Here is a 26,589-nt window from a genome sequence, read left to right as displayed (position 1 = left end):
TGGGCTGTCCCCATAAGGGGCTGGCAGCCGAGGGGCCACAGCACCACCAGCAGTGGGGGAAAGGAGCGCTTCATTCCCAAAGAGAGATGGGAGAGGCAAGTCCCAGCACCCTGTACCCCTTAGGGAGCAGCCAAAGGAGTAAAACCCGCAATTCTTTGTCTCCTATGCCCCATTCCTTCCTAGTGACAGGAAATCACCGTTTGGGATTGTATAGAAGGTGTTAGAAATTGTATGCCCGCCTTCTGATGCTCCAGCGAGGTGGCACCTGGTTCAGATGACTTTTCAGTTCAGACCTGAAGGGAAAAGAAGAGCAACAGTGACCACAAAGAGAGCGAGCGCTCCCAAGCCAGCAGGTCCTCAGCATGCGTGGGTGGCAGCTGACTTCATCCCCACACAGCTGTGTGCTGGTGCTGCTATTGTCCCCATTCTACAGATGGGAAAATCTGCACAGCAGAGGCCGTTGGCAGGGGGTGGCACAGCCGGGCATCAAGCCGGAGCCGTCTGGCGCCTGAGCCCACACACAACCGCTGTGCTGAACAGACAGATGGTGCCGGAAGGCAGCATGCAACCCGAGAAAATGCGTGGAGAGGAGTGGGCTGTTGCTTTCCAACCATTTTTATAGGCTGACTATAGATGCATTTATATGAAGTCTTTTTTTTTTTTTTTTTGGTACTTCCAGTTGCTGATGGGTCCACCTTGGGCACAGCCCCCTCTCACAGGCGGACCTGGGCATCGGCCTCATTCCTCATTTGTGCAGAACTCTGTAGGGCTCAGTGATCTGGGAGCTGGGAGCTGGCAGGAGCAGAAAGGTCCTGAATGTCACCCAGCAAAAAGCACTGACCTTTTCTGGCTCTCATCTCCCACACCGTCTTCCGCAGGATGCTGCGCGTTCTGTGCCCATCCCTTATACTCCCTGTGGGCTTTTTTTTTTTTTTTTTCCAGCAATGATCAGCCCTTGCCTAATTGCAAATAGATGGGTCTTAGGATTGTTTTTTTGTTTTAATGTTGCCTGCAAAAATTACACTGGTTAGTGTCTCTGGAGCCCTAAAAGATACCACCTTTTACACAAAGCTGAAAGCAGTAGACTTTGGGCTGCAGTCCAGTAGTTTCTTTTGTCACCGTTTTCTGTTTCTTTCCTCTTTCTCTGCTCCGTTTTCTCTCCGCCCTTCTTGTTGTCTTCTGCCTGCTGTCCTGTATCTTCTCCTCCTTTATCTTGTTTCCTTAGAGCTGGGTTTCACCAGACTTGAAACACCTGCCTTGCGATCCAGTTCTCTTCCCTGTGGCGGCCACGTGGCTGATGAGGCACAGGTGACCGTGCTCCGGTGGGGACGCCGTGACCGTGTGTGTGGCTGGTCTTGTTTTTCAGATGCGGGCATTCACTGAGTTATATTCGGTGTGGGTGCCAGACTTAACGTCTTTCACATATTTTGCCATTTAACTCATCAGCAACTCTGCCTGTTCCTAGTATTCACCCGGTTTTTACAGTTGGAGAAACGGAGGCTCAGATAGAATGAGTTGTTTGCCTAAGGGCCACGGCGAGGCCAATTGAACCCGGTGTGGCTGTCTCCAAAATCCACGCCCTTCCCTGCAGGACGTCTTTTCGTCTCCCCCTACATCCTAATTTGGGGCAATGAAGAAGGCAAAATACCTTCCAGGGAGCTGCAAGCCTCCGCAGGGGCCCGCCTCGGGGCCACTCCAGCGTGCTCGTGGCACCTGTGCTTGCGTCCTCGGCTGCGCGGGCCTTGGAAAGATCGCCACGGGGAGCCAGGACTTTGGGGACCTGGTTTCCCTCCTGCCACACCTCTCATTGGCTGTGTGACCTTGGACAGGCTCCCTGATGGCCCTGAACCTAAGTTGCTTTGTTAGTGAAACAGCAATAAGAATACCTGCCTGCAGGTGGCCATGAGAATTAAATGATACCCTATGTAGGTTTGCCATGATATGCCATGTAGCAAACTTGAGTATGCTATAATTTTTAAGAAATCTTCTTTCTTCATTTGCTGGAGAAACCCCAAGGGCAGAATGTGTGGCCTGTGTCTGGCGAGTGTGTAGGACTTACGGGTTTTTGTGTCTTAACCTCTCTCCAGAGACCGCCTTACTTTATCTTCCTGTGGCTACTGTTTTTCCTCCTTTCAAGGTATTTTATGTAACTGCATTGCAAGCATCCTTTTGGAAATGGAGACAGGGTGCACATAGCATCATGGAGCTCAGCTTTCGCCTAAGCGAGGACACAGACTCATCTGTGAGGTCCATATGGTCTGGAGCAGGTGTGGCTCTGAGCCTCTACCCATCCCTGTGGTTCCTGCCGCCCCCACCCCTCTGCCTGCCCCCACCCACCCACTTTTCCCCTATGGCACAGCCCATGCCTCTCTGCCTGCAGCCTCTCTGCTTGGCAAAAACATCCCAGTGTCTGCAGTGGTATGTGTGGAAGGTGGTGTGTGGAGTGTGGTGTGTGTGGAGGGTGGCGTGTGTGGAGGGTGGTGTGTGTGTAGGGTGGTGTGTGGAGGGTGGCGTGTGTGTAAAGTGGTGTGTGTGGAGGGCGGTGTGTGGAGGGCGGTGTGTGTGGAGGGTGGTGTGTGGAGGGTGGTGTGTGGAGCATGGTGTGTGTGGAGGATGGTGTGTGTGGAGGGCGGTGTGTGTGGAGCATGGTGTATGTGGAGGGTGGTGTGTGGATGGTGTGTGTGGAGGGCGGTGTGTGTGGAGGGCGGTGTGTGTGGAGCATGGTGTGTGTGGAGGGCGGTGTGTGGGAGGGTGGTGTGTGTGGAGGGTGGTGTGTGGAGGGTGGTGTGTGTGGAGGGTGGTGTGTGTGGAGGGTGGTGTGTGTGGAGGGCGGTGTGTGTGGAGCGTGGTGTGTGTGGAGGGTGGTGTGTGTGGAGGGTGGTGTGTGTGGAGGGTGGTGTGTGTGGAGGATGGTGTGTGTGTAGGGTGGTGTGTGTGGAGGATGGTGTGTGTGTAGGGTGGTGTGTGTGGAGGATGGTGTGTGTGGAGGATGGTGTGTGTGGAGGATGGTGTGTGTGGAGGGCGGTGTGTGTGGAGCATGGTGTGTGTGGAGGGTGGTGTGTGTGGAGCATGGTGTGTGTGGAGCATGGTGTGTGTGGAGGGTGGTATGTGGAGAGTGGTGGAGGGTGGTGTGTGTGTAAAGTGGTGTGTGTGCTTTCCCCAGCTCCAGCCCTGGAGTATGGAGCCCTCAGCCATCCTGGAACTGGGCTGCGAGGCCATCCCTCTGCTCAGATGTGTCCTTTCTTTGACTGAGCCCTCCTTCCGTGACTCCCCCGCTGCCTCCCTTCTTGAGGCCGTTGTGTGAGAATCACAGGAGGCGCGCCCTAAGGACCAGGCACCCTGATTCTGTGGCCGTACTCATGCCCTGAGCTCAAGGAGTGGGAGCCAGGAAGGCTGAGCTCCAGTCTCAGCCCAATTGTGCAAACTGAGGTGATGTCACTCAAGCCTGTGGCAGTGCTGTCCGTAGCCATTAGCATTCCATGAGGCCCTCGAGTTTGGCGGCTGGATTCCCGCTGCCTGGCCCTTGCCAGGGATGTCACACAGCCCTATCCTCGGGCGCTCCAAATGCCTCCCTGTGCCTGTGATGTGTGGGGGAAGGCTGCGTCCTGGCCAGAGGCTCTTGGGGGCAGGTCTCAGACAGCAGCCCTGATGGCGTGGAGGAGCTGTCCACCCTCAGGCCCCACAAGCATCCAGCTGGTCCGTGTGCTGCTAAGTCCAGAAGGGTTATGTGTGCACACGTGTGTGTGCATGTGCACGTGTGTTCGTGTGTGTGCATGTGTGTGGGGGGAAGGGAGGCATGCATGTAGATAGAGATGCATAGATACTCTGCATTTTAGAAAGTTCCAGGTTCAAGTCAAGCTCCTTGGAGGCTCATTTCTAATGTGATTTTTTAGAGAAATAAACAACAGCAGTCGGGGTGGAGGCTTCTTCTCTCTGGCCCGTGATGGGCACTGCCTGCTGGCACTGCAGAGCAAGGGCTGGCTGGGGTGACAGGAGTGGGCTTTGCCTTTGGGCTGCTGGTGAATGACCCAGCTGTCCCCAGCGGGTGGACAGGCCTGACCTCAACACCAAGGTTATCCTTGTCTGTAGAATAAAGGGGGCCTGGATTCTATTTGTTTTTGGTTTTTCGGTGGGAAGCAGCATGATTTCATAGGAGGAGCCTCGGTTTGGGGTCAGAAGGTCTTATTTTGAGCCCAAATCATCCTTTCTCAGCCTGTGCCCAGGTTCCTCAGCAGTGAAGAGCAGGTGATAATATTAGGTTAAACTGCGTGGAATAGCCAATATTTGACTTTTTTTTTTTTTTTTTTTGAGACGGAGTCTCACTGTGTTGCCCAGGCTGGACTGCAGTGGCATGATCTCAGCTCACTGCAAGCTCCACCTCCCGGGTTCACGCCATTCTCCTGCCTCAGCCTCCGGAGTAGCTGGGACTACAGGCACCCGCCACCACGCCTGGCTAATTTTCTTGTATTTTTTAGTAGAGCTGGCATTTCACTGTGTTAGCCAAGATGGTCTCAATCTCCTGACCTCGTGATCCACCCACCTTGGCCTCCCAAATTGCTGGGATTACAGGCGTGAGCCATATTTGACTATTTTCTAACCTCAAAAATGATCATCTCACAGAGTTCAACGTAATATCTGACCCATCAACCATATAAAATTGTCAAAATTGTCATCTGAAAAACATATACGTAAATTATTTTTAAGCAGCTGAGTTTTCAGAATGTAAGTTATTTTTCTGACAAACCTGTCATTTTGACTTTTTTCCCCTTTTCTGAAACCGACTTTCTCCTCTCTTTTCTGGAATCTTGCTGTGTCGACCCAGCTGCAGCCCCTCCTCCTCCTCCAGGGTGCTGCGCCTATGGGACAGCACACTCACGCATCCAGTCCTTGTTGGCCTTGTCACAATCGTCACCTACTTTTAAAAAGTTTAAGAGCAAGTGTTGTAGCATCTCCTGGGTCCCGAGCTCTCCGAGGGACACAGTAAAAAGTGACTTAGGGCTGAGTCCAGAGACACTAGGTTTACCCTTGGAATCCTTGGAATCCATTCAAGGCAGCCGCCCCTACCTTTGGAGGGTGAAATTAAATTTAGTCCAAGCTGCAACAGCCAGTCCTGGGGTTGCCCGTTGAGCTGCGGCCCTGCCAGGTGGGTCACATATGAAAGAGCAGGTATTCTTCCCTCCTGACCCCTTATGGGGCCGTGCAGGCTGTGAGATAGGAGAGAGGCGGGGCCCCAGGGAGGGAGGAGGAGGTCAAGATCTAAGCTAATTCTCGTGGAGTGCAGGGCTCTGGGCAGAAGCTCCGTGCACACCCCTGGCCTCTCCGGTCTCTCTGTAGGATGGGAGCACTTCCAGGTCATTGTGTTCCTATAGGACCCTCAGGCGTGTGGGGTTGGCATCTCTGTGGTCCTGGGGCGGTTCTTCATATGGTCTCAGCCTGTCCTGTGGCTTCTCAGGGCCCCATTAACAATGGGGTGCTTACCACATGCCCCCCTACAGGTCTGTGGTCTACACTGAGGATGTAGCAGTGGAGGGCACATGAGGCTGCTGCCCTCGTAGGGTTTACTTTCTTTTTTTGAGATGGAGTCTCACTCTGTCGCCCAGGCTGGAGTGCAGTGGTGCGATCTTGACTCACTGCAACCTCCACCCCCTGGGTTCAAGCAATTCTCCTGCCTCAGCCTCCCGAGTATCTGGGATTACATGCGTGTGCTACCATGCCCGGTTAATTTTTGTATTTTCAGTAAAGACGGGGTTTCGCCATGTTGGCCAGGCTGGTCTTGAACTCCTGACCTCAGGTGATCTGCCCACCTCCCAAAGTGCTGGGATTACAGGCACGAGTTTCTGTGCCCCGCCAGGGCTTACATTCTTGAGGGTTCTGTCCCCCCTAGCCCCAGGGACCCCCGACCAGTGCCTCGGTCTGAGCTGGCACCTTACACAGGGCACAGGCTTGCGTAGGAGCCTGGGTTCCTGTGCGTCCGTCCTGTCACTCAGTAAGCAGCACTGTTGAGGGTTTGCTTTGAGGCTGGCATTCTTCCAGACATGGGACGGAGCAGGCACGGGACAGGCGAGAGCTTGCCACCCGTTTTCAGTCTTGCTCCTCCCCTCACTGCCCCCTGCCCTCCAGCTGAGAGGGAGTGGAGGGAAGCCCTTCACCAGAGCAGGAAGCCCCGGCTCCCTCTCCTGTGAACTCCCCTGGGGAAGTTGAGTCTGAGCAGTGTTTTAGCAGTGATGGGAGTGAGGACGTGCACATTTCATAGACGATGATGATACAGAGTAAGGCATTTTGGACGTGAGCTGTGGAGGGGGACCCATGAGGAGGGAGGCTTCCCATCCTTCCTTCCAGAAGCATCCACTTCTAAGACATTCGAGCTCACCAGCATGCAGAGTGGGGCCCCAGGAGCGCTCTCCCCTAGGTGCCAGGGGTTAGTGGTTAATGGTTTGACAATGATAATGAAACCAAAAGCCTGTGATTTTGGCTGAACAGGGGCATATGGAAATTTCCATCTGTAGCCGACTCTGGAGAGACGTGCGTGGCCAACTTCACAAGAGCTGCTTGCCCACACTGGCCATTGCGACTCCACGTCTCAGATCCCCGCACCAGCCTGGGCCAGCCAGGAGTAGCTGTTGCTGGCAGAGTTGCCCACAGCGAGGTGGGGATCGGGCAGTTTCCAGAAAAAGGGAAGCTGCTTGGCAAAAGCAGAAGTGATTTTTTTTTTTCTTTTTTTTTTTTGCCAGAGGCCCCAAACTCGCCAGTCTCAAACTGGGAAAACCCGTTCTTAGCAAAATGCTCCAGTGAGCTCTCATGGCAGGAAAGCTCACTCCAGTTCCGGAAAGTTGTGGTTTTGGCCTCTCCCAGCAAGAGGCACCAATGTAATGTCAGAGCCACGCTGAACTCTGGCATGGGCGACGTTTCTTTTTTCTTTGAGTTGTGTGTGTTTGTTTTGTGATATTTCCCTACCAGGCCATTAAGAAAAGTTAGATGGCAGCAAGGGTGTGAGTGGCTCGATCCCAGATAAAGAGGGCCAGGCACAGAGACGGCGGGATCGCTGGAGGAATTTGAGAGTCCCTCAGGTCTCACCACCCATTTGCGGGTTGGGGAGCAGGGGTACCCCTGTGGGCCGTGCCTTGGAGCTCAAGTGACTGGCCTAAGGTCACATTGCGGCGGCTCATCGAGGACTTCTTATTCCGTGTTGTCAGACTCGGCTTTCAGTGACACCATCAGTGACTGTGGGGGGAGGGACTAGATCTTCAGCATCAAAGTAGACACTGAATTAAAACTCACTGAGCTGAACTGATTTGCACAACTGCGAGGCAGCGCTCAGAGCACCAGACTCTCACCTCTGACTCCTCCCTCTGGCAGAAGCCGGTGGGGCGGGTGGATGCTGGTGGGGCACAAGGGCCATGTTCCTGGACACAGGACGATGGAGGTGGGGCAGGCGGGAAGGAGTGTAGAACTTGAGGATTTTGGAATTGGTCCATCTGGGTTCCAATCCAGGCTCGGGGCTCCTTGGCTGAGTGTGAGCTTGGGCTGCTTTGATGAGCATGGCCAATGCCATCTCTGAACCTCGGTTTGCCCACCTCCACAATGGCAGGGCTGCCCACCAGATGACGTGTGCTTCGAGGCAGAGCATGGGACAGGTTGCCCTTCTGCCTCCTGTTCATTTCTTCCTTTCTAAGATGAGGAAATAACCTATTAGCTGAGCAGGGTTACTTCGGAGCTTAGACAGATTTGATCCCTCCTTCCAGGAGAAACCTTCTGGACAGGCGTCTTTCCATTAAACACTCAAGAAGCGTTCTAGGTGAGGGGACTGTACCTCCAGGTTTCTCCTGGGCCCACCCGGTTCACACCCACTGTCCCTGTGTAATCATTTGATGTGCCCACTATGGGTAATTGGTGCTACGGTTCCCCTGCACCCCCCTCCCGCTTCTTTCTGCAGACACTGAGCCACCTGTGTGCACGGCCCCTCGGTTTAGGCGGTGTGGGTTCTCAGCCTCCCTGGTGTGTCTCGCTCCCCCTGCAGCCCAGCAGAGCCTCTCTGTGCCTAGCTACAGCACGCTCCGGAAAATGGCAAACGTGCTGCGGGCTGGGCAGGAGCAGCTTCCCCAGGTGGGAACACGCCCAGCATGCACAAGTGGCACGGATTGAATTATGTCCCCCAAAATATATAGAGAGGTCCTAACCCCCAGCACCTGTAAATGTGACCTTGTGTGGATATGGCGTCTCTGGCAGATGTACTTAGCGAAGATGAGGTCATCCTAGAGCAGGGTGGGCCCTTAATCCAGCATAACTGCAGCCTCCCAAGAAGATGGAAGACACAGGCCCGTGGGGAGCAGGCCATGGGACAGCAGAGGCCGAGACAGGAGTGCGCTGGTGGCTACCAAGGATCCCCAGGGAGAGCCAGTGACCCTCAGAACTAGGAAGAGGCACGGAAGGGTCCCCCACAGGCTTCAGAGAGGGCGCGGCCCTGCCCACCCCTTGATCTTGGACTTCAGGCCTGCAGAACTCTGAGAGAATCCGTTTCTGTTGTTCTAAGACCCCGTGTGTGTATGTTGTTACAGCAGCCGCCAGAAATGAATACAGCAGGACTTGGTGTTTCTTGTCACCCTCCATCCTTTGGTCTCCTGTCCATCTAGACACAGAGACTAATAGGGACATGGAGAAACTGAGGCACGGAGATTCTTGACTAAGAACTTCCCCACCATCATCCTGACATCGCTTGGACTCCTGCGGAAGGGAAGGGCCAAGTTCCAGAAAACAGAGCCTAGCTGGCATGGCCAGACCGCCCCGTGTGGGAGGGAGCAGGGCCCTGCCAGAAACTTTCTCCAAAGCACGGTGCATCGGAGGCCCCTTTCCCCAGGCAGCCTGTGTCTCAGGGCCTGCGGCCTGCCAGGCAGGGGGCACTGCCTCTGCGTCTTCGTTTCCCCAACACGGTTAGAATTCTCGAGGTCTCCACCACGCCCCTGTATTCCAGGATCACAAAGAACTTCCTAAATGGGAACCCATTTTCGTTCAGAACACCCTGCAGGAGCCATTGGGAGAGGAACCGTGGAGCAGTACCCAGGTCCTGGGCCTGCCTGAGCCAACCCGTACGGCTCGGTGGCTGGCCTCCCCAACTCTCCTCACCTGCGGGCTGTGAAGATCAAATGAGATGATGTCTGCTGACGGAAGTCCAATTTAATTTTTAAAGTTATTTATTATCCTTATTATCATTTTCTTATTTTTAGGTAGATCAAAAGACATGCAGTAGGCTGGGTGCGGTGGCTCACGCCTGTGATCCCAGCACTTTGGGAGGCCGAGGCAGGAAGATCACCTGAGGTCAGGAGTTTGAGACCAGCCTGGCCAACATGGTGAAACCCTGTCTCTGCTAAGAATATGAAAATTAGCCAGGGGTGGTGGCGGGGGCCTGTAATCCCAGCTACTCAGGAGGCTGAGGCAGGAGAATTGCTTGAACATGGGAGGTGGAGGTTGCAATGAGCCAAGATTGCGCCACTGCCCTCCAGCCTGGGCAACAAGAGCGAAGCTCCATCTCAAAAAAAAAAAAAAAAAAAAAAAAAAAAAGACATGCAGTATTTTCTTCATCTGTTTGTACTGCTATAACAAAATACCCGAGACTGGGTGATTTCTGAAGAATAGAAATTTATTTCCAGTTCTGGAGGCTGGAAAGTCCGAGACGAGGGTGGTGCCAGGAGGTTCGGTGTTGGGTGAGGGCCTGGTCTCTGCTTCCAAGGTGGCACCTTGCACACTGTGACTTCACATGGACAAAAGTAGGCCTCACTGGTTCCTTCCAGCTCTTTTCTAAGAGTAGTAACCCATTTCTGAGGGCCCTGTCCTCATGACCTAACCACCCCCAAGCCCACTTCTTAATATTGTTGCATGAGGGATTAAGTTTCAGCATGAATTTTGTAGGAGGCACAAACATTCAAACCATAGCAGTATTTATCCAAAGGTTTCATCTGCTCCCATCCTGAAAGCTGAAGTCCTCAGCCTCGTCTCTGCAATCTGACTTCACAGTGCAGGAGGGAGGGGTGGCGTAGTTTAAAAGCCGCTGGGCCACGGGCACTCTTTAGCAACTGACTCTTTAGAAAAGCAGCTCTGATTCATAGTGTTTCCTGACTGCTGTGGTGTAAATGTTCCCACCATGGAAGATTTCCACATGGCCTCAGTTAATGGAGCTGGGGAAAGACACCCCCAGTCTGCTCCGGGGAGCCCGTGTGAGCTGCCAGCTTCACCTGCCTAAACGGATGCTTCCGGGCGCCAACCTCACAGGGTGGCCTCCTTTTCTCTACACCTGAAACCCCAGAGGACAGAAGCATTGTGTCTGGAAGAAAGAGCCAGTTCGAAAGACTCAGGTGCCCAGGCTGGGAGCAAGGGCTGGAGCAGCCCCAGCGGAGCTTGTCGGTGCTTTGCCGCGTGGTTATATACCAGGTTAGCTCATCGTCGTGTTGGAAGGAAAAGGGCTCTGAGCCTTCAGAAGATGAGCAGTGCCCCAGGATGAGTGATGGGGCTGGGAAGGCCAGGGGGTACAGCCTCAGTGGGGTGCTTCACAGGGTCTCAGGTGTCGATGTCCTGTGGGAAGGACAAGTTCCTAGAGAGAGAGGCTCGGGGACAAGAGCTCAAGGCCAGCGTCCGTGAGGATGTGGCTTGAGAAAAGGAACAGAGCTGATCATAGAAGGAAAAGTCAGCTAAGAGCCACCTGCCTAATTCACTCTCAGTAGGCTCCTGTCGCCCCAGCCTGCTAACCCTTGGCCAGAGGAAAATTACCGGCAGCTCAGGGGCTCCCTTTGGATGCTTGGCCAAGAGGAATATTCTTCACTGTACCATCTCGGCCACACAGTTAAGCTGGTATCTGCTGTGTGGACACTGCTGTGTACCCAGAATAACACTAGACATCAGGGACCCCAGCCTAAGGCTGCAGTCTTCCTGCAAAGTCCAGGCGGTTTCACTGGGAGATTCCAGAACCATTTCCCTCTCGGGCATCCCCCGTCAAGCATGGGCTTTGCACAGGTACAAGGCCGAGAGCATTTACCTAGCAGTCCCTCACCCAGCCGCTTACCCCCATACACACTTACATTAGTAACAGCCTTGGTGATCTTGCTGACAGTTTAAGAAGCAGATGAGGACTCACATTTGTGTCATTAAAACACAAATCCCTTTGCAAAACTGGATCTCATTCCCAGCTGTGCGTGTTAGTGGACTGTCCTCCTCTTCAAATATGACCAAGCTTTTTAGAACAGTCATGCAAACGTCCTAGAATCCAACTACAGAAGAATACTGTAGGACATGGCATTTATGAAGCCCTATGGTGGTTATAAGAGGGGGATTCATTTTACAAAGATACAAAGATAACCAGAAGAATACTCACTTTATCTACACGTCCAAACACTCATCCACATGCACACGCATACACACCTACACATACAGACATACATGCACAAAGGGTCTCATATACCACCTCCTGCCAGCGTCCTAAGTTACGGTGTCCCTCAGAAACAGAGGTGGCGTTGTGGGATAGGGTAGTTCCAAATTGCAGCCATTCACACCTGCACAATTTTTATATCCAAGTGCAATTTTTAAGCTTATTTTTATTTTTTTATTTTTAAATTTTTTTGAGACGGAGTTTCTGTCGTCAGGCTGGAGTGCAGTGGTGCGATCTTGGCTCACCGCAACCTCTGCCTACCGGTTTCAAGTGATTCTCCTGCCTCAGCCTCCTGAGTAGCTGGGATTACAGGCGTGCGCCACCACACCCAGCTAAGTTTTGTATTTTTAGTAGAGACGGGGTTTCGCTATGTTGGCCAGACTGGTCTCGAACTCCTGACCTCAAGTGATCTGCCCACCCCCAAAGTGCTGGGATTACAACTGTGAACCACCGCGCCCGGCCTTACATTTATTTTTAAAAGAAACTTTCTAAGACTAGAAGAAATGGAAAACTTCTAACATGGTTCACCATAAATTGTAAAAATAAACAGCTGCCCATCAGGGTAAATCGTGTCAGCTCACACACCGCAAGTAGGGGCGAGCACTGATCAGGCCGGGAGGTCTGGCTCTGGAAAGTCATGTCACAGGGACTCATCTGTTGAGGAGGGCTCCTCCAGACCCTGCTAGCCCCCGATCTGAGGACAGCACCCGTCTGTGTTCCGGGACCATACACACTGTGTGTGTGAAAATCCAGCCCCCAGATGCCGGGAGAGGGACCCTGAGGGAGCGGCAGACTCTGGGGCTAATGGCAAGAATTATTCCTGGTGGCTCCGATGAGCTGGGGTTGCCGTTGGTGTTTGGGAAGAGCTCTGATCTCCTAGGTGGGGCCTTTCCCGCCCCCGCAGTGTTTTGGGAAATGCGGCTCCCACTACCTGCCGCCCTCAGCATTTAGGTGACTTGGCAGCCACCTCCCCTTGTGAGGATGACGAGGTTGGGAAGGGAGGCAGGCATCTGAAAACGGCAGCCACCGCCTTTCCCTTCCCAGCGCCTCCCCCACGAGTCAGTCCTGATGCTGCCAGGGCCCAGACTTCCAAGTGGGGCCACCACCGCTTCCTCCCTCCTCAACAATAGTTAGGCTGGTGGTTCTCAAACTTGAGCAAGCTCTGGGGTCACCTGGAGGCTGGGCCCCACCGCCGAGTTTTCCGTTCAGTAGGTCTGAGGCGGGTTCATGAATGTGCTTTTCTAGCAAGTTCCTAGGTTGACAAGGACGCTGCTGGTCCGGGAACCACGCTCTGAGGACCACTGGGCCAGGAGTTGAAGAGAGCCGGAGCCCTCTTGCAGCTCAAGGTTCTGATCAGCTCATTAGCCCAAGATTCATTTTCTCCACTAACAACGTCTTCACCTGAGAAGGAAATGAGTCCCATCCTGGCTCAAGCAGGCCACAGACGAGGAGAAGAGGCTGTCGGGGTGAAGAGGGCCATTTTTGTCGCTGCCAGGAGAGGGATGCCGAGCAGTGATCCTGCCAGGAAAGGGAACTGTGGGGTTGAGATGTGGGGGGCAGCTGGGAACAGGGGCAGGTGGGGAGGGACAGATGTCTCCCAGCACCCTTGTGCGGGGCGGAGGCTGCCTGCCGCCATCCCTGGAGCTCCGCATACACTCTTTTCAACAGCACCGAGAAGAGGAGCTGTGACGTCCCCGTGTCCCAGGGAGGTTTGCCGGGCTGGGGAGCACAGAATTCATCTGCCAGACTCAGACCCAGGCGGTCTAGCCCAAGAGGGAATATATGTATGTGACAACAATTGCATGGAATGATACCGATTTATTCATCCAGTAAATACTTACTGAGCCTTTACTTTGTGCCGGGCACTGTTTTAGACACGGGGCTTTAAGAGTGAACAGAACTGTCAAAAATCCCTCACTCATGGAGGTCACATGCTGGTGACGAAATAGAGACAGTGAGCCACAGAAAGTTAGTGTATTTCAAACTTTTGGACCATGACTCACGATAGAAATAATAACTCGTGTTTGCATAGTGCTCACTGTTTGCCAGGCACTGAGTTATTGTCTGTTCTACGTTTCGTATCTCTTTCTATTTCGTATGACCTACCTAAAATAACTTTGTGATTCGCTCATGGGGAAGGGCTTCTCATTTGAGAACCACTGCTCCGATGGACACGCTCACCCAGGTGGGAGGGTTTTTACCCCCGTTCCTTCCCACCTCTGCCTCGCCAAACCAGCCCCTTCATGTGATGGGTCCTCTTCCGCCTCTTTGAGGAAGCCGCTCTGACTTCCAGCCCACACGACTTCGCGGAGTGGTAGAAGTTGAGAGCTAGAGACGAGGTGTTAGGGATGAGGTCACCCAGTATGATCTTCCCATTTTACAGAAGAGTACACTGAGGCCCAGAGGGAGCACTGGCCTGCCTGTGGTCTGTAGTAGTGAGTGACCAGTCTCTGAGGGACACTGCCACAACTTCAGAGCCACGCTCTTTCTCTATCTCTGCAGCAAAAGAGGAGAGCTTCCCAAGGGCTTCCCCAACCCCTGGGAAAGGCCTGGAGTGTGGGAGGAAACTGACTCATGCCTTCTTCTCCATCTCCTTCTATCTCCTCCTTCTACCTCCTTCTACATCTCCAAACCCTGGCCAGGAGTCAGGAGGCCCAGGCTGAGGCCTTGGAATCTGAATTTTTAAAAAGCTTCTGTTCCTTGGAATTCTACAGAGGTGGGCAGCCATGTGCTGCCTCCTGCTCACCTTCCCTGGCTGGGCTCTGAGGACGATGGAGCCTTCTGCCATGACATGTCCATGGATGTGAGATGTGAAGAGGAAGAATTTCTATCCGATCTTAACCAAACAGAGTGTAGGTTTTGGTCTAGATGTTTGAATTGGGTCCAAGTCTTCCTGCTTTGAGTCAGCTGATTCCAAATGAATCTATTTTATTAATTTGGTGATAAGTGGTCTCAAGTTCCAGCCTAAACTTCCTTGGGGGGCCTCACCCCAGTGGGGATAGAGATAAGGCTGTGTGATACCAGATCCTAGAACAAACACTCAAATACTCAGCTCTGGGAATAGAAGTGCAAGCAGAAATCCATTTATTCTCTTTGAAAACACACCAACTAGATATTGCTTCAACTTTACTCCATAAATCAGTGAGTTTTTTGGTGACATAATTCATGAAACTTTTGGGAAAACAACAATGAAGCCACCAGATTTGAAATTCAGAACAACAGCTGTAGCCGCGTGATGGTGCAGCCTGTCTTCAGCTTGTCAACACCATATTCCTTAGGAATGGTTGGCCCACCAGTTCCTTGCAGAAACCACAGAACTAGAATGAAGTGTCTCATGTACATCAGCTTCAGGAAACGACAACGTGAGACATAGCCCTGCTGCTGTGTTCCATCTGCTTTTATATGCAGCTTTGTTCCAGGTTCTAGACATGTGGACACTTAAGTATTATCTGTGTACATATGCTGCACGTCTGTGTGTAGGTTTATATCAAAACTTGTAGGTACACTGGGGCTTGGAACACATATATTCATGCCCAGAAATCTGTGCACATAGATATATAGACACTGTGTGTTTGCATGACTAAAAGCATGGCCTGCGTGTATGTGTGTCTTTCAAATGCCTGCTGTATTGGCTTGTTGGCCTGCACAGATACACCCAGATTCTTGAACTCAGATGGAGCCTGTTCAGCAGTGTCCCAAAGTAGGGACAGGGAAGAACTAGACCTTGAAGGGAATCCTGCAGTTTACTTGTTTTCTATCCTAAAGACACGTTTCCACCTGAATTGAGAAGATCAGAGTTCTGAAGCCTTCACAATCAGAATTGTGAAGCCTCCTCTGCTTCACGGCAGCATCCCCATGCTACCACCGCTACTTACTATCACTACCTACCATCACTACCCATCACTACCTACCATCACTACTATCACAACCATCACTACCTACCATCGCTACCATCATCCCTACCTACCATCACTACCATCATCACTACCTACCCTCACTACTATCACTACCATCCCTACCATCGCTACCATCATCACTACCTACCATCACTACCATCCCTACCTACCATCACTACCATCACTACCTACCATCACTACCATCACTACCTACCATCACTACCATCATCACTACCTACCATCACTACCATCCCTACCATCCCTACCTACCATCGCTACCATCATCACTACCTACCATCACTACCATCCCCACCTACCATCACTACCATCCCCACCTACCATCACTACCATCCCCACCTACCATCACTACCATCCCCACCTACCATCACTACCATCCCTACCTACCATTGCTACCATCATCACTACCTACCATCACTACCATCCCCACCATCACTACCATCCCTACCTACCATTGCTACCATCATCACTACCTACCATCACTACCATCCCTACCTACCATTGCTACCATCATCACTACCTACCATCACTACCATCCCTACCTACCATTGCTACCATCATCACTACCTACCATCACTACCATCACTACCATCCCCACCTACCATCACTACCATCCCCACCTACCATCACTACCATCCCTACCTACCATCACTACCATCATCACTACCTACCATCACTACCATCCCTACCTACCATCACTACCATCACTACCATCCCTACCTACCATCACTACCATCCCTACCTACCATCACTACGTACCATCACTACCATCCCTACCTACCATCACTACCATCACTACCTACCAACACTACCATGACTACCTACCATCACTACCATCATCACTACCTACCATCACTACTATCACTACCATCCCTACCTACCATCACTACCCATCACTACCTACCATCACTACCATCACAACCTACCATCACTACTATTACTACCTACTATCACTACCATCATCACTACCTACCATCACTACCATTACTACCTACTATCACTACCATCATCACTACCTACCATCACTACCATCCCCACCTACCATCACTACCATCACTACCATCCCTACCTACCATCACTACCATCATCACTACCTACCATCACTACTATCACTACCATCCCTACCTACTATCACTACCCATCACTACCTACCATCACTACCATCACTACCTACCATCACTACCATCCCTACCTACTATCACTACCATCCCTACCATCCCTACCATCACTACCATCCCAACCTACCATCACTACCATCATCATTACCTACCATCACTACTATCACTACCATCCCTACCTACTATCACTACCATCCCTACCTACCATCACTACCATCACTACCTACTATCACTACCATCATTACCTACCATCACTACCTACCATCACTATCATTACTACCTACCATCACTAACATCACTACCATCACTACCTACTGTTACTACCACCACTGCTACCCTCACTACGGTGGCTCATGCCTGTAATCCCAGAACTTTGGGAGGCTGAGATGGGAGGATCACTTAAGCCCAGCAGTCCGAGACCAGCCATGGCAACATAGGGAAACCCTGTCTCTACAAAAAATAAAAAAATTAGCTTGGTGTGGTGGCAGGCACCTGTAGTCCCAGCTACTCAGGAGGCAGGGTGAGAGAATTGTTTGAATCCAGGAGGCCAAGGGTGCAGTGAGCTGAGATCGCACCACTGCACTTCAGGCTGGGTAACAGAGTGAGATCCTGTCTCAACCAATCAATTAATCAATTAACCAATCAATCAGTCAATCAGATGGGGTCTCACTCTGTCTCATAGGCTGGACTTGAACACCTGGGCTCCAGTGATCTTCCTGCCCCAGCGTCGCAAGTAGCTGGGACTGTAGGTGCCACCGTGCCCGGCAGCACTTTATATTCTTAAACTAACAACATCCACAGTTGATGAATGAGGAGCCTGAGACTCGGGTGGGCAGCTCCTCGCTCCGGTGTAAACCCCTCCATCAGAAGCAGGCCGGCTTGGGGCCGGAGCCCCTGTGCACCCTGCTGGACCACTCTGGCGACGGAGGTCCGGGGGGTTCATGTTTCACAGAACAGTGAACTTCCATCTTGGGAGGACCTCCCATTCCTACTCTTGCTCCTGAGGCAGTGAACTGACAGAAGCCACATCCACACAGTGCAGGTCCGGGGGCCAGATGCATCTGTAGTCTCAGGACTGCAGGTTGGGGCCTCGGGACAGGTGCACAGAGGCAGGAGGCTGAGATGGGAGGATCAATTGAGGCCAGGAAGTTGAGGCTGCAGTGAGCTATGATTGCCCCACCCAGCTATGATTGAGCCTGGATGACAGAGCGAGACCTCATCTAAATGAATGAATGAGTAACTAACTGGTGCATGGTGAGGGCCCTTTGCAGCTGGGCTGCTGGGCCAGCTGCTGCTTTCTCTACACAGGCAGCCTGGGGAACCTCGAAGGCACCTTAGCCAGCCAGTTGCATTCTGGGCATGGAGGACCTGTCCTCCCTCAAGGCCTGTGCTGTCCAGGCACCTTTTCAAATGCCTCCCTACTGTCACCAGCTCCGGGGAGATGAATCTGCCACTCCTAACAAGTAACTTAGATGATGTCTTCTTTTGAAAGTCTACTTTTCTGATTACAAACGTAATGTAAAATGTAATGCCCTCAAGGACTGGCGCACACACTCAGGGTACAAATACAGTCACTCCTCTTTCAGTGTCCAAATTCACCGCTCCAGCCCCCACTCTCTTTGTTAGGGGGATATCTGATCTCCCTCTTGAGCCCTGCCCCCAATTGTCCAAGAACCCCTGGGGTACAGGTGTGGCCTCCCAGGGAGCTGCCACCCTGCTCAGCTTCCTCTGCCGCCCTGCTCAGCTTCCTCTGCTGTGGCTCCTGGGCCACACGGTGTCCCTGGGGAAGGCGGGCCCCTGCTACGTTGGGCTGGCTGGCCCTGGATGGACCACTACCCAAGCTCAGTGACATTGCAGGTGTGACCACTTGGGGCTCAGCACCCTTGGGCTATGGACAGAGCTAGAGCCTGGAGCACCAGATCCCAAGTCAGGACCAGGTGTCCCTGGCGTTTCTTCCCTAGTGGTTACCGAGGCCCGAGGCGGCGTCTCCATGACACCCTCATTCCCTGCTGAAGGAATTCTCGTGGGTGAAGCATTATGTAAATCATCAGACCGGATTTAAATACAAGACATGAGTAAGGTGTGGCGAAAGCATTGGAACTGTAGACATTGCTATTCTCATTCCGAACAGGCACTGAGTACAAGGTTGCTCAATGAAAAATAGCAGACTCATGGACCATCATCCTTGTCTAGGTGGGGAAACTGAGGCCTAAAGAGGTCAGGGTTAGGGCTGGACGGCAGGGGCTGCGGACCGCTTCTGAGCTGCAAACCAGCACGAGAGTTCCGACCGCGGTGCCCGGCCACGCTGCCTTGCCCCAGCATCACTTGACTTCCTCCTTCTACTTTCCTTCCTTCTGCAGGCCAGTCTGTAGTTGGCTGATGTCTGAGAATATCACGACTTTTCTGATTCTTAGCAGAAAAGATGTGGTTTTCTAGGAAGCTTCTGGTGCAGCGAGCCCTGGTTGGGGTGGGGCTGAGGGCAGTTAAAGCCCAACGTGCCCCTGCCTAGCCGTTCAGGAAATGGCCCGGCTGAGGTGTCAGGCAGCTGCCAGTCTGCAGAGCTGGCTTCAGAGGAAGCTGCCCCTTTTCTATTTTTTTTTTTTTTTTTTTGAGACAGTCTCACTCTGTTGCCCAGCCTGGAGTGCAATGGCTCAGTCTCTGCACACTACAACCTCTGCCTTCCGGGTTCAAGCGATTCTTCTGTCTAAGCCTCTCGAGTAGCTGGAACTACAGGCATGAGCCAACACGCCTGGCTAATTTTTGTATTTTTAGTAGAGATGGGGTTTCACCATGTTGGCCAGGCTTGTCTCTAACTCCTGAACTCAAGGGGTCTGCCTGTCTCAGCCGCCCAAAGTGTTGGGATTACCGGTGTGAGCCACTGTGCCTGGCCTTCTTTACTTTTTTTTTTTTTTTTTTGAAACAGGGTCTTGCTTTATCTCCCTGGCTGGAGTGCAGTGGAGCAAACACAGCTCACTGCAGCCTCGACTTCCCTGGCTCCAGCGGTCCTCCCACCTCAGCCTCCTGAGTAGCTGAGACCACAGGCATGCACCACCACACCTGGCTAATTTTTGTATTTTTTGTAGAGACGGGTTTTACCATGTTGCCCAGGGTGATCTCCAACCCCTGGGCTCAAGCAATCTTCCTGCTTCAGCCTCCCAAAGTGCTGGGATTATAGATGTGAGCCACTGCACCCACCTGCCCCTTGTCTTGGTGGTCTTGTGTCAAATCAGGTGAGACATGTCCAGGATACCCGTCTGCTGGAGACGAGGGTGCTGAGGGGATTGAGCAAGGCTGTGGGGCCGAGCCTGGCAGGGTCGAGGGTGTCCAAGTCAAGGGACACCAGGCCCTTCATGGAGTGGTGCAACGCCACAGCCCCGCTGACCCCAGCTGAGTGCTGCAGCAGTGGGAGCTGGCCTCCTCTTCCTCTTCTGGCTCTGAGTCTACTGTGTTTCCTTCGTTGCTTCTAGAAATAAAGGCACCACTGTGGAGGGAGAGGGAACAGAGATTAAATGTGGGCCCAGCCTCTCCTGTCCTTTCCAGTCCTGCCTCTGCTGGTGCCTGTTCCCGAGGCCCAGGTGTGGCCTCCTCCGGGGTCCTGTGCGCGTTCCCGAGGCCCAGGTGTGGCCTCCTCCAGGGTCCTGTGCGTGTCTCCAAGGCCCAGGCGCGGCCTGCTCCAGTGTCCTTTCCAGCCAGCGCTGCCCACAGGAGTGACTGTCTGCTCAGATCCCGGCTTTACCGGAGGAGAAGCTGCTGTGGGTTTTGTTGCAGGGGGCGGGAACTCTGGATTAGCTGTAGGAAGTAATTCCTCCCTAAGACAGGCCCACTCGGTAGGGGAGCTTCTGAAGGCACTGGTGTAAAGGGAAGTCAGCCAGAAACAGTGATTAATAGATCATTAGCATCTTAAGGGGAAATTATAAAGGTGTTAGGGCTTAAGAGCCCCCTGAGAAAAGTGCCTCGCGTGTGGCATTCAGAACTCTCTAAGCCTCTCCCCTGCTCCCTGCAGTCCCCCCTCGAGGCTGCCTGATTGCCCCGTTCCCAGCTCAGCTTCTAATCTTTAAAAAGGTATTTAAGGTTTATATTAACCATGACTATACTAATATCAACCATTTCTCTCCGTTTGTGTGAAGCACTCTCAACGCCCTGCGAGCGCCGACGGTTGGATGGAGGGAGGGTCGCCCGGATTCACCCCCAGCTGCCATCCCCGTGGGCCAGCACTGCCTCTTTCTCTCCCTCTTCTTCCACCTTATCTTCCTGTCCACTTTCCCCCTTTCCCTCCCCCATAATTGACCCCAATGTGGAATTGAGGGTCATTTCAAAATATTTCTGATACTATTTGAAGAAAATAAACTTTATCTGTTTAATGAAAAATACCAGGTCTCACCAATTTGCTTTCTCCTGTAATGATTGGGGTGGTGGGGGGAGCTGTGTAGCCCCGAAGGGCACTCTGCCCTGGCTGTGGCAGTGGCAGGAGGTCACACTTTATGGGATTCGGTCTGTCTCCCCACCGCTCCTGTACGGTGATGTCTTCCAGAGATGTGAAGACGGCTGTGCACGGTGTGGTGTGGCTTTGTTTTCCTCGCAGCGCCCAGGGCAGGGCTGAGCTGGAGGTAACCGGGGTTCAAGTTGAATTTAAACAAATAGCCTCAAATAAACATTGGCAGTCTGGCAGGGACCTCGTCTCGGGGGTCCCCGCAAGCTGGCTGGGCCGGGCCCTTTCGCGTCTGGAGTGCTCACTCTGTTCTGCTTCCGCTGTTGTGGATGATCCAAGAACTGAATATTCTCAGTGGCTTCTTAGTCCTAAGTGAATTTGTCACAGGACATTAATGCCTAAAGCCAGAGAACCTGCCAGGAGGAGAGGGCAGGGGACCCGAGGGGCTAGGTCCTACCTCACAGTTCTCCAGCCCAGGAGCTGTGGCCTGAGGACCCTGGAGGACCCGCATACACGCCCTCCTGTGCCCCGCTAAGGCTGCACCCAGACAGGAGGCCAGAGGCACAGCTGGGACAGCCTAGAGACTACCCCAGCCTCCACACCCCATCGGAGGGGAATTCACACTGGGAAGGGGGCAAGTTCTGATCCCCTGGAGGCAGAGGAGCCAGCGATGGGTCCACCTTGCCTTTGTTGTTGTTGTTGTTTTTGTTTCTTGTTTTGGTGACTGAGTGAAGGGACTTGACCCTGGTTCTCCCAGCTTGAGCAGGAGCGTCACTGCGGTGATCAGGGAAGCTGCCTGGACCAGCTGGCCTGGGGCAGCCACCACCCCATTCTCTCGCCCCTCTTGAGAATCCAGCCTGTGGACCCAGGTGTGTCAGCCTGCAGTCAGACCACAGTCTGTCTCGGGCTGGTGCTGGGGGTGGCAGAAAGGGGGTCCTGACGCAGCCCCTGCTCCCCCGAGTCTCTCAGTCTCCTGGGGAAGAGATGACAGACAAAACATAAAAGAGAAATCATGCTATAGGGGAAGGAATGCTCCAAAGACACGGCCGAAGACAAAACTCAGGATATGGGAAGCGGTCATGAATATTCATTGTAATCACATCTCACTGGTTTAAAACCAAAAAATGTCGGGGTGAGTTAGACTCAGGATGTGCACTGGGTCCTGGGTCCTGCAAGTCCCACAAATTAGATACATTCACAGGGAGCTCAGACACGCTGGTCCATGGAGCAATCAATGCCCGTGGATTGGCCTCGTCACAGTCCCCATCTCCGATGCCTCCCTGAGCTGCACCCCACTCTTGAATACGGAAAGGCTGCCCTTTGTGGGACAGATGCACTTTCATCACGGTGAGCAGCCAGCAATCTGCCATCACAGTGGGCCCTTCCTCCTGGCATCACCAGGCTGCCCACGAGAGCCCCCGGGATGTCCGATCCAGACCAATGGAAGCCCAGGGTGGGGCCAGGATGCTGGGTGACTGTCCTGCAACAGGACCTGGGTCAGTCTCCTTGTGTGTCTGTCCATACAGCAACCTCTCCTTATCTGGCAAGTGATGACAATTTAAAACCACAACGAGAGTGGTTCCTAAAGGCGAGCTTACGCCTTTAGGAAGGCTCCCAGGCTTAGGCCAGGGAGGATGCTGTTAGATGCCTCGGAAGGGTAAGCAGGCAGACAAGAGCAATTTCTGAAAACTTTCTAAGGGTGTCGAGTGTGGTGGTTAATGCCTGTAATCCCAGCACTTTGTGGGGCCGAGGTGGGAGGATCACTTGAGCCAAGGAGTTCGAGACCAGCCTGGGCAACATAGGGAGACCCGTCTCTACAAAAAATTAAAAATAATAAAAATAATAAAAAATAAAAATATTACCTGGAGGATCACTTGAGCCCAGGAGGTCAAGGCTGCAGTGAGCCAAGATCGTGTGTGTCATGGCACTCCAGCCTGGAAAACAGCAAGACCCTGACCCTAAAAACAAATGAACATAAAACCTTTCTAAGGGCACCCTGTTATGAGTTGAATTGTGTGTCTCCTAAAAGATGTGTCCAAATCCTAACCCTCTGTACCTGTGAATGTGACCTCTTTTGGAAACAGGGTCGTTTCCGATGTGATGAGTTTTGATGAGGCCACATTGGAGCAGGCTGGCCCTTTTCCACATGGCTGGCATCTGCGTATGAGGGGGATTCTGGACACAGATATGCCCGGAGAGACCTCTGGTGAGGATGAAGGTGGAGATCAAGGTGATGCTTCTACAAGCCAGGAAACCCCAAAGATGGCCGGCAGCCACCCGTAGCTGGCAGAAAGGCCTGGACAGATTCTCCCTCTCAGCCTCAGAGAGACCCAGCCCTGCCGACACCTTGATCTCGGACTTCCGGGCTCCGGAACTGGGAGATGGTGCGTTTCTGTTGTTCAAAGCCCCCCAGGAGACTCACCCACAGCGATGGGGAGGGGCGGCACTGCGCCGTAGCCCTCCACACTCCCTCCACTCCGTTCCTGGGGTGGGGGCTTAAACCTCTCTGCACCTCATCAGATGCTTTCCAGGGTCCCTTCCGACCCCAGATGGTCCACATTCCAGCAAGTAGGGGTAGTGCTGGGTGTTCCTCCTCCCACTATGTGGAGATGGGATGTTCAGCCCGGAAGACTCTCACCTGAGGGTGCGCTGTGCGGTGCAAACAGGGACACCCGTGCCTTTATTTAAACAGAAACCCACATCAAACAACGTGATGTACTGATTGGTTGACAAAAACGTGGCCAGAGGCTCCCAGGAAGCTAACCCTGCACCTCCCCTGAAAACAATGGCTCAGCATTTGCTAACTCAGTGTGCCTGGCGACTTTGTGGAGCAAAACCACCTTGAGTAACGGGAATCACCTGTACCTGGTTACAGGACTTAATTTACCAAAAATTGTGGCTCAGGTCATCTTGGGTGTACTTTCTCATTCCCTTAGAAGTGGGAGTCAGTTTAAGACAAATCATGATCACCAAATTCTGTGACTTGAGTTGACACCTTGTTTGAATTTGTCCTTAAGTTTTCAGGGTCAGCCCTGTTGGGGGCTGCTGGGCAGAAACCTTGTTCTTTCCAAGGTGCATTTAACTGCTGTCGGGGAATGATCCACCTGCTGCCATTTTCTATTTTTTTTTTCCTCCAGAAACTGGCAGTAAGGTGAGTATTTAGCAAAGGTAACTTTTTAAGTAGATTCACTATTCTGTTATCCCTGCCTGGCCCCCGCCATGGGCCGGGCCTTCTCCTAGAGGAAGGAGAGATGGACGGTGAGGTGGAAATGCTGGCTGTGGCCTCAGGCTCCCAGCGGGGGCAGTGTGCTTGTGTGCCAGTGCACTGGGCACCCCACAGAACACACCCCCTCCCGCCATCTGGGGGAGGCACAGCGGGGAGGCTGTGAACCTTTCCTCATTAAGGACTTATTTTTTATGCCAGTTGGATTCTGGGCTTGCCTCGTGCCAACCTCCCCTTTGCCCCTTTCTGAATGTGTTAATCACAGGGGAAGTGTTATTTCTCCAAACTATCCCCCACCCCTGGAACAACTGAAAAGCCCGCTGGAGTTAGAAGGATCTTGGCTGGTGCTGGGGCTGGGGACCAGATGGGTTTCTGGAGCGTCCATCGGCTTAAGAGCCGAGACAGACACTCCTGCCGCCCCGCTCTGGCTCTCCTCTCTATAGCAGAGCGCAGGTGAGGGCGGCACCCACAGGGCTGTCTCTCACCCGCACCATCCCTGCAGACTTCCCCAGGGCCCTCCCTGCCGCTTCCACCCTCTCCTTTCCAGGGCCTCCTCCGCTCAGCAGCTGGAACAGCCTTTGAACATCATTCGTCACACCCTGTCCTGCTCAGGGATGAGCAGGGATGAGAACCCTTCCCGCTGCACACTCCCGAGCCCTGCCTCAGGGCCTTTGCACTGGCTACCCTCCTGCCCGGGGTGCTCTGTCCCAGCTTCCAATGGTCAGTTCCCTTTCTCAGGTCCACCCCACAGATCTCCACGAGGCCTTCCGTGACCATCTAATCAAAAGACTCACGCGCTCTCTGTTGCACTGATCACACCTGATTCTCTTACAGTTCTTACCGGAATGAAATTAGCTTTTTATTTTGACATGCGCCTCTCCACTGGAAAGCCAGCTTCGTGATGGACGCTGTCTGTCTTTCTGTTCCTGAATCTTCCAGGGCTGGTGCACCATAAACGAGTGAGTGCCAGCAACCTCAGACACCTGATCTGCCCACCTCCTCCAAGATGTCCCCCACTTTTCAGGGGACAGTGTGGGTGTCCTGGGAGGAACACCAGGCTAGTCCGGAGCGGGTCCTGCAACGTGGGGTCAGGGCACGGGGCCTCCCTGGAAATGGCCACCGTCCTAACTGCTCGCCTGGGATAGGGGTCTCTGGGAGGCTGCCCATTTATTACCTAGAGAAGAGGGAGGGAAGGTCTGAGGATGGGCCTCAGAGGTGGGCTCTGAGCTTTTGTCGCCTCAGTCCCAGGTAGCACCTGGAGAGTACCCGAGAGCGGCCCCTCAGGAGTGGACATGGATCCTGCGTTCCTTTGCAGGCACGGGGGGCTCACGCTGTGGAAGGGACCCAGGGTGGGCTGTGCTGGGACCCCCCCCCCAGAGATGCCTCAGTGCCCAGCAGACCAGCCCCAGGGGAAGGGGGGAGAACCCCTAGGCTCCTTCCTCTGAGGGGGTGTTCAGCCGCCCTGACCCTCCTCCCTTTCTCGTGGACCTAACCTCTGACAGCCTCCCACGCCTCCCACAGTGGGCAGGTGTCTATGGAGGGTCTGCTGGCTGCCTGGGAAGGCACTGTGAACACTGCCCAGAAGTCGGAGCTTCTGCTTCGCCCCCAACAAGCAGGTCTCCTTGGTGTGAACTGGTGTCCACAAACTCTGTGGGGCAAAGACTCAGATTTATTCCCTCCCTCCTCCCTTCCTTCCCTCCTCCCTTCCTTCCCTCCTCCCTTCCTTCCCTCCTCCTCTCCTTCCCTCCTCCCCTCCTCTTCCTCCCTCTAATCAGTCACTAGTGTCCACCCTATTGGGTTGGGGGGAAATTCAATTTCAAGCATTCTGGGAGGGACCTTCCTCCCCTTCCCCCAGGCCTCAGAAGAGTCTGGGTTCCAGGCATCTGGTGGCCCCTGTACCCTTCTAGTCCAGACTCCTGAGATTCCTCCATCTTGGAGATTTCGTGCAGCAGCCAGGCCTGAGTTTGAGATTCTTTGCCGAGTGGAGGCCCCAGTGTGTGAGTTTGTTCTGGTGGATGCAGCAGCCACCCCGCTCTGAGATCTGGCCCCTCTCTCCCGTCTCGGTTCTGGGGAAGTGTCCTCTGCTCCCCACTCTGTCACCTCCCTAGCGGCCTCTGATCCTGCCAGGATGCCCCAGCCTCGGTGCAGGCAGGCCAGGGACACAGCACCTGACCGGGACACAGCTCCTGCCTGGGACACAGCACCTGTCGGGCACACAGAACTCCCTCCAGGGGGCGAGGCCAGGACCCGAGACCAGCTTGGAGGAGGAGGCAGGGCGTGCAAGGGGGGGAACATACAAATGAATATCAGAACACGTTTTCCTGCCACATCAGTGAAACAAGGGCACGTGTTTGCCTAAACCTGCTGTAAGGATTGGCCCAGAACTCCGCTGACCATAGCCATTAACTCACTAAGGTGTGATGACCAGAAACCACTTTAATGGGCCACCTCTTGGGAGAATTAAGTGAGGGAAACTCCTTCACCTAAAAGAA

At 53.3% G+C, this 26,589-nt stretch overlaps 1 protein-coding gene across 7 annotated transcripts in view, besides 5 other annotated features; it reads left to right on the top strand.

Moving 5' to 3' along the window:
* PRKAG2 (protein kinase AMP-activated non-catalytic subunit gamma 2) overlaps positions 1 to 26,589 on the top strand; it is a 320,989-nt gene that overhangs the window by 19,048 nt on the left and 275,352 nt on the right. The gene's annotated exons all lie outside the window — the stretch shown is intronic.
* Positions 3,066 to 3,586: an enhancer, noted in NCBI's record as "H3K4me1 hESC enhancer chr7:151551567-151552087 (GRCh37/hg19 assembly coordinates)". NCBI's record gives its function as "activates a minimal SCP1, AML or CMV promoter by ChIP-STARR-seq in naive H9 embryonic stem cells {active_cell/tissue: H9 hESC(naive)}" and the evidence as "EXISTENCE:reporter gene assay evidence [ECO:0000049][PMID:30033119]".
* Positions 3,587 to 4,107: an enhancer, noted in NCBI's record as "H3K4me1 hESC enhancer chr7:151551046-151551566 (GRCh37/hg19 assembly coordinates)". NCBI's record gives its function as "activates a minimal SCP1, AML or CMV promoter by ChIP-STARR-seq in naive H9 embryonic stem cells {active_cell/tissue: H9 hESC(naive)}" and the evidence as "EXISTENCE:reporter gene assay evidence [ECO:0000049][PMID:30033119]".
* Positions 19,182 to 19,231: an enhancer, noted in NCBI's record as "active region_26871". NCBI's record gives its function as "activates an Ori minimal core promoter by ATAC-STARR-seq in GM12878 lymphoblastoid cells {active_cell/tissue: GM12878}" and the evidence as "EXISTENCE:reporter gene assay evidence [ECO:0000049][PMID:35858748]".
* Positions 19,464 to 20,045: an enhancer, noted in NCBI's record as "H3K4me1 hESC enhancer chr7:151535109-151535690 (GRCh37/hg19 assembly coordinates)". NCBI's record gives its function as "activates a minimal SCP1, AML or CMV promoter by ChIP-STARR-seq in naive H9 embryonic stem cells {active_cell/tissue: H9 hESC(naive)}" and the evidence as "EXISTENCE:reporter gene assay evidence [ECO:0000049][PMID:30033119]".
* Positions 22,379 to 22,579: a silencer, noted in NCBI's record as "peak6848 fragment used in MPRA reporter construct". NCBI's record gives its function as "represses an SCP1 promoter by STARR-seq MPRAs in K562 erythroleukemia cells {active_cell/tissue: K562}" and the evidence as "EXISTENCE:reporter gene assay evidence [ECO:0000049][PMID:32103011]".

Source organism: Homo sapiens, chromosome 7 (assembly GCF_000001405.40).
Source record: "Homo sapiens chromosome 7, GRCh38.p14 Primary Assembly".
Taxonomy (NCBI): Eukaryota; Metazoa; Chordata; class Mammalia; order Primates; family Hominidae; genus Homo; species Homo sapiens.
Note: the sequence above shows the minus strand (reverse complement) of the source record. Positions and strands in the feature narration are given on the sequence as shown.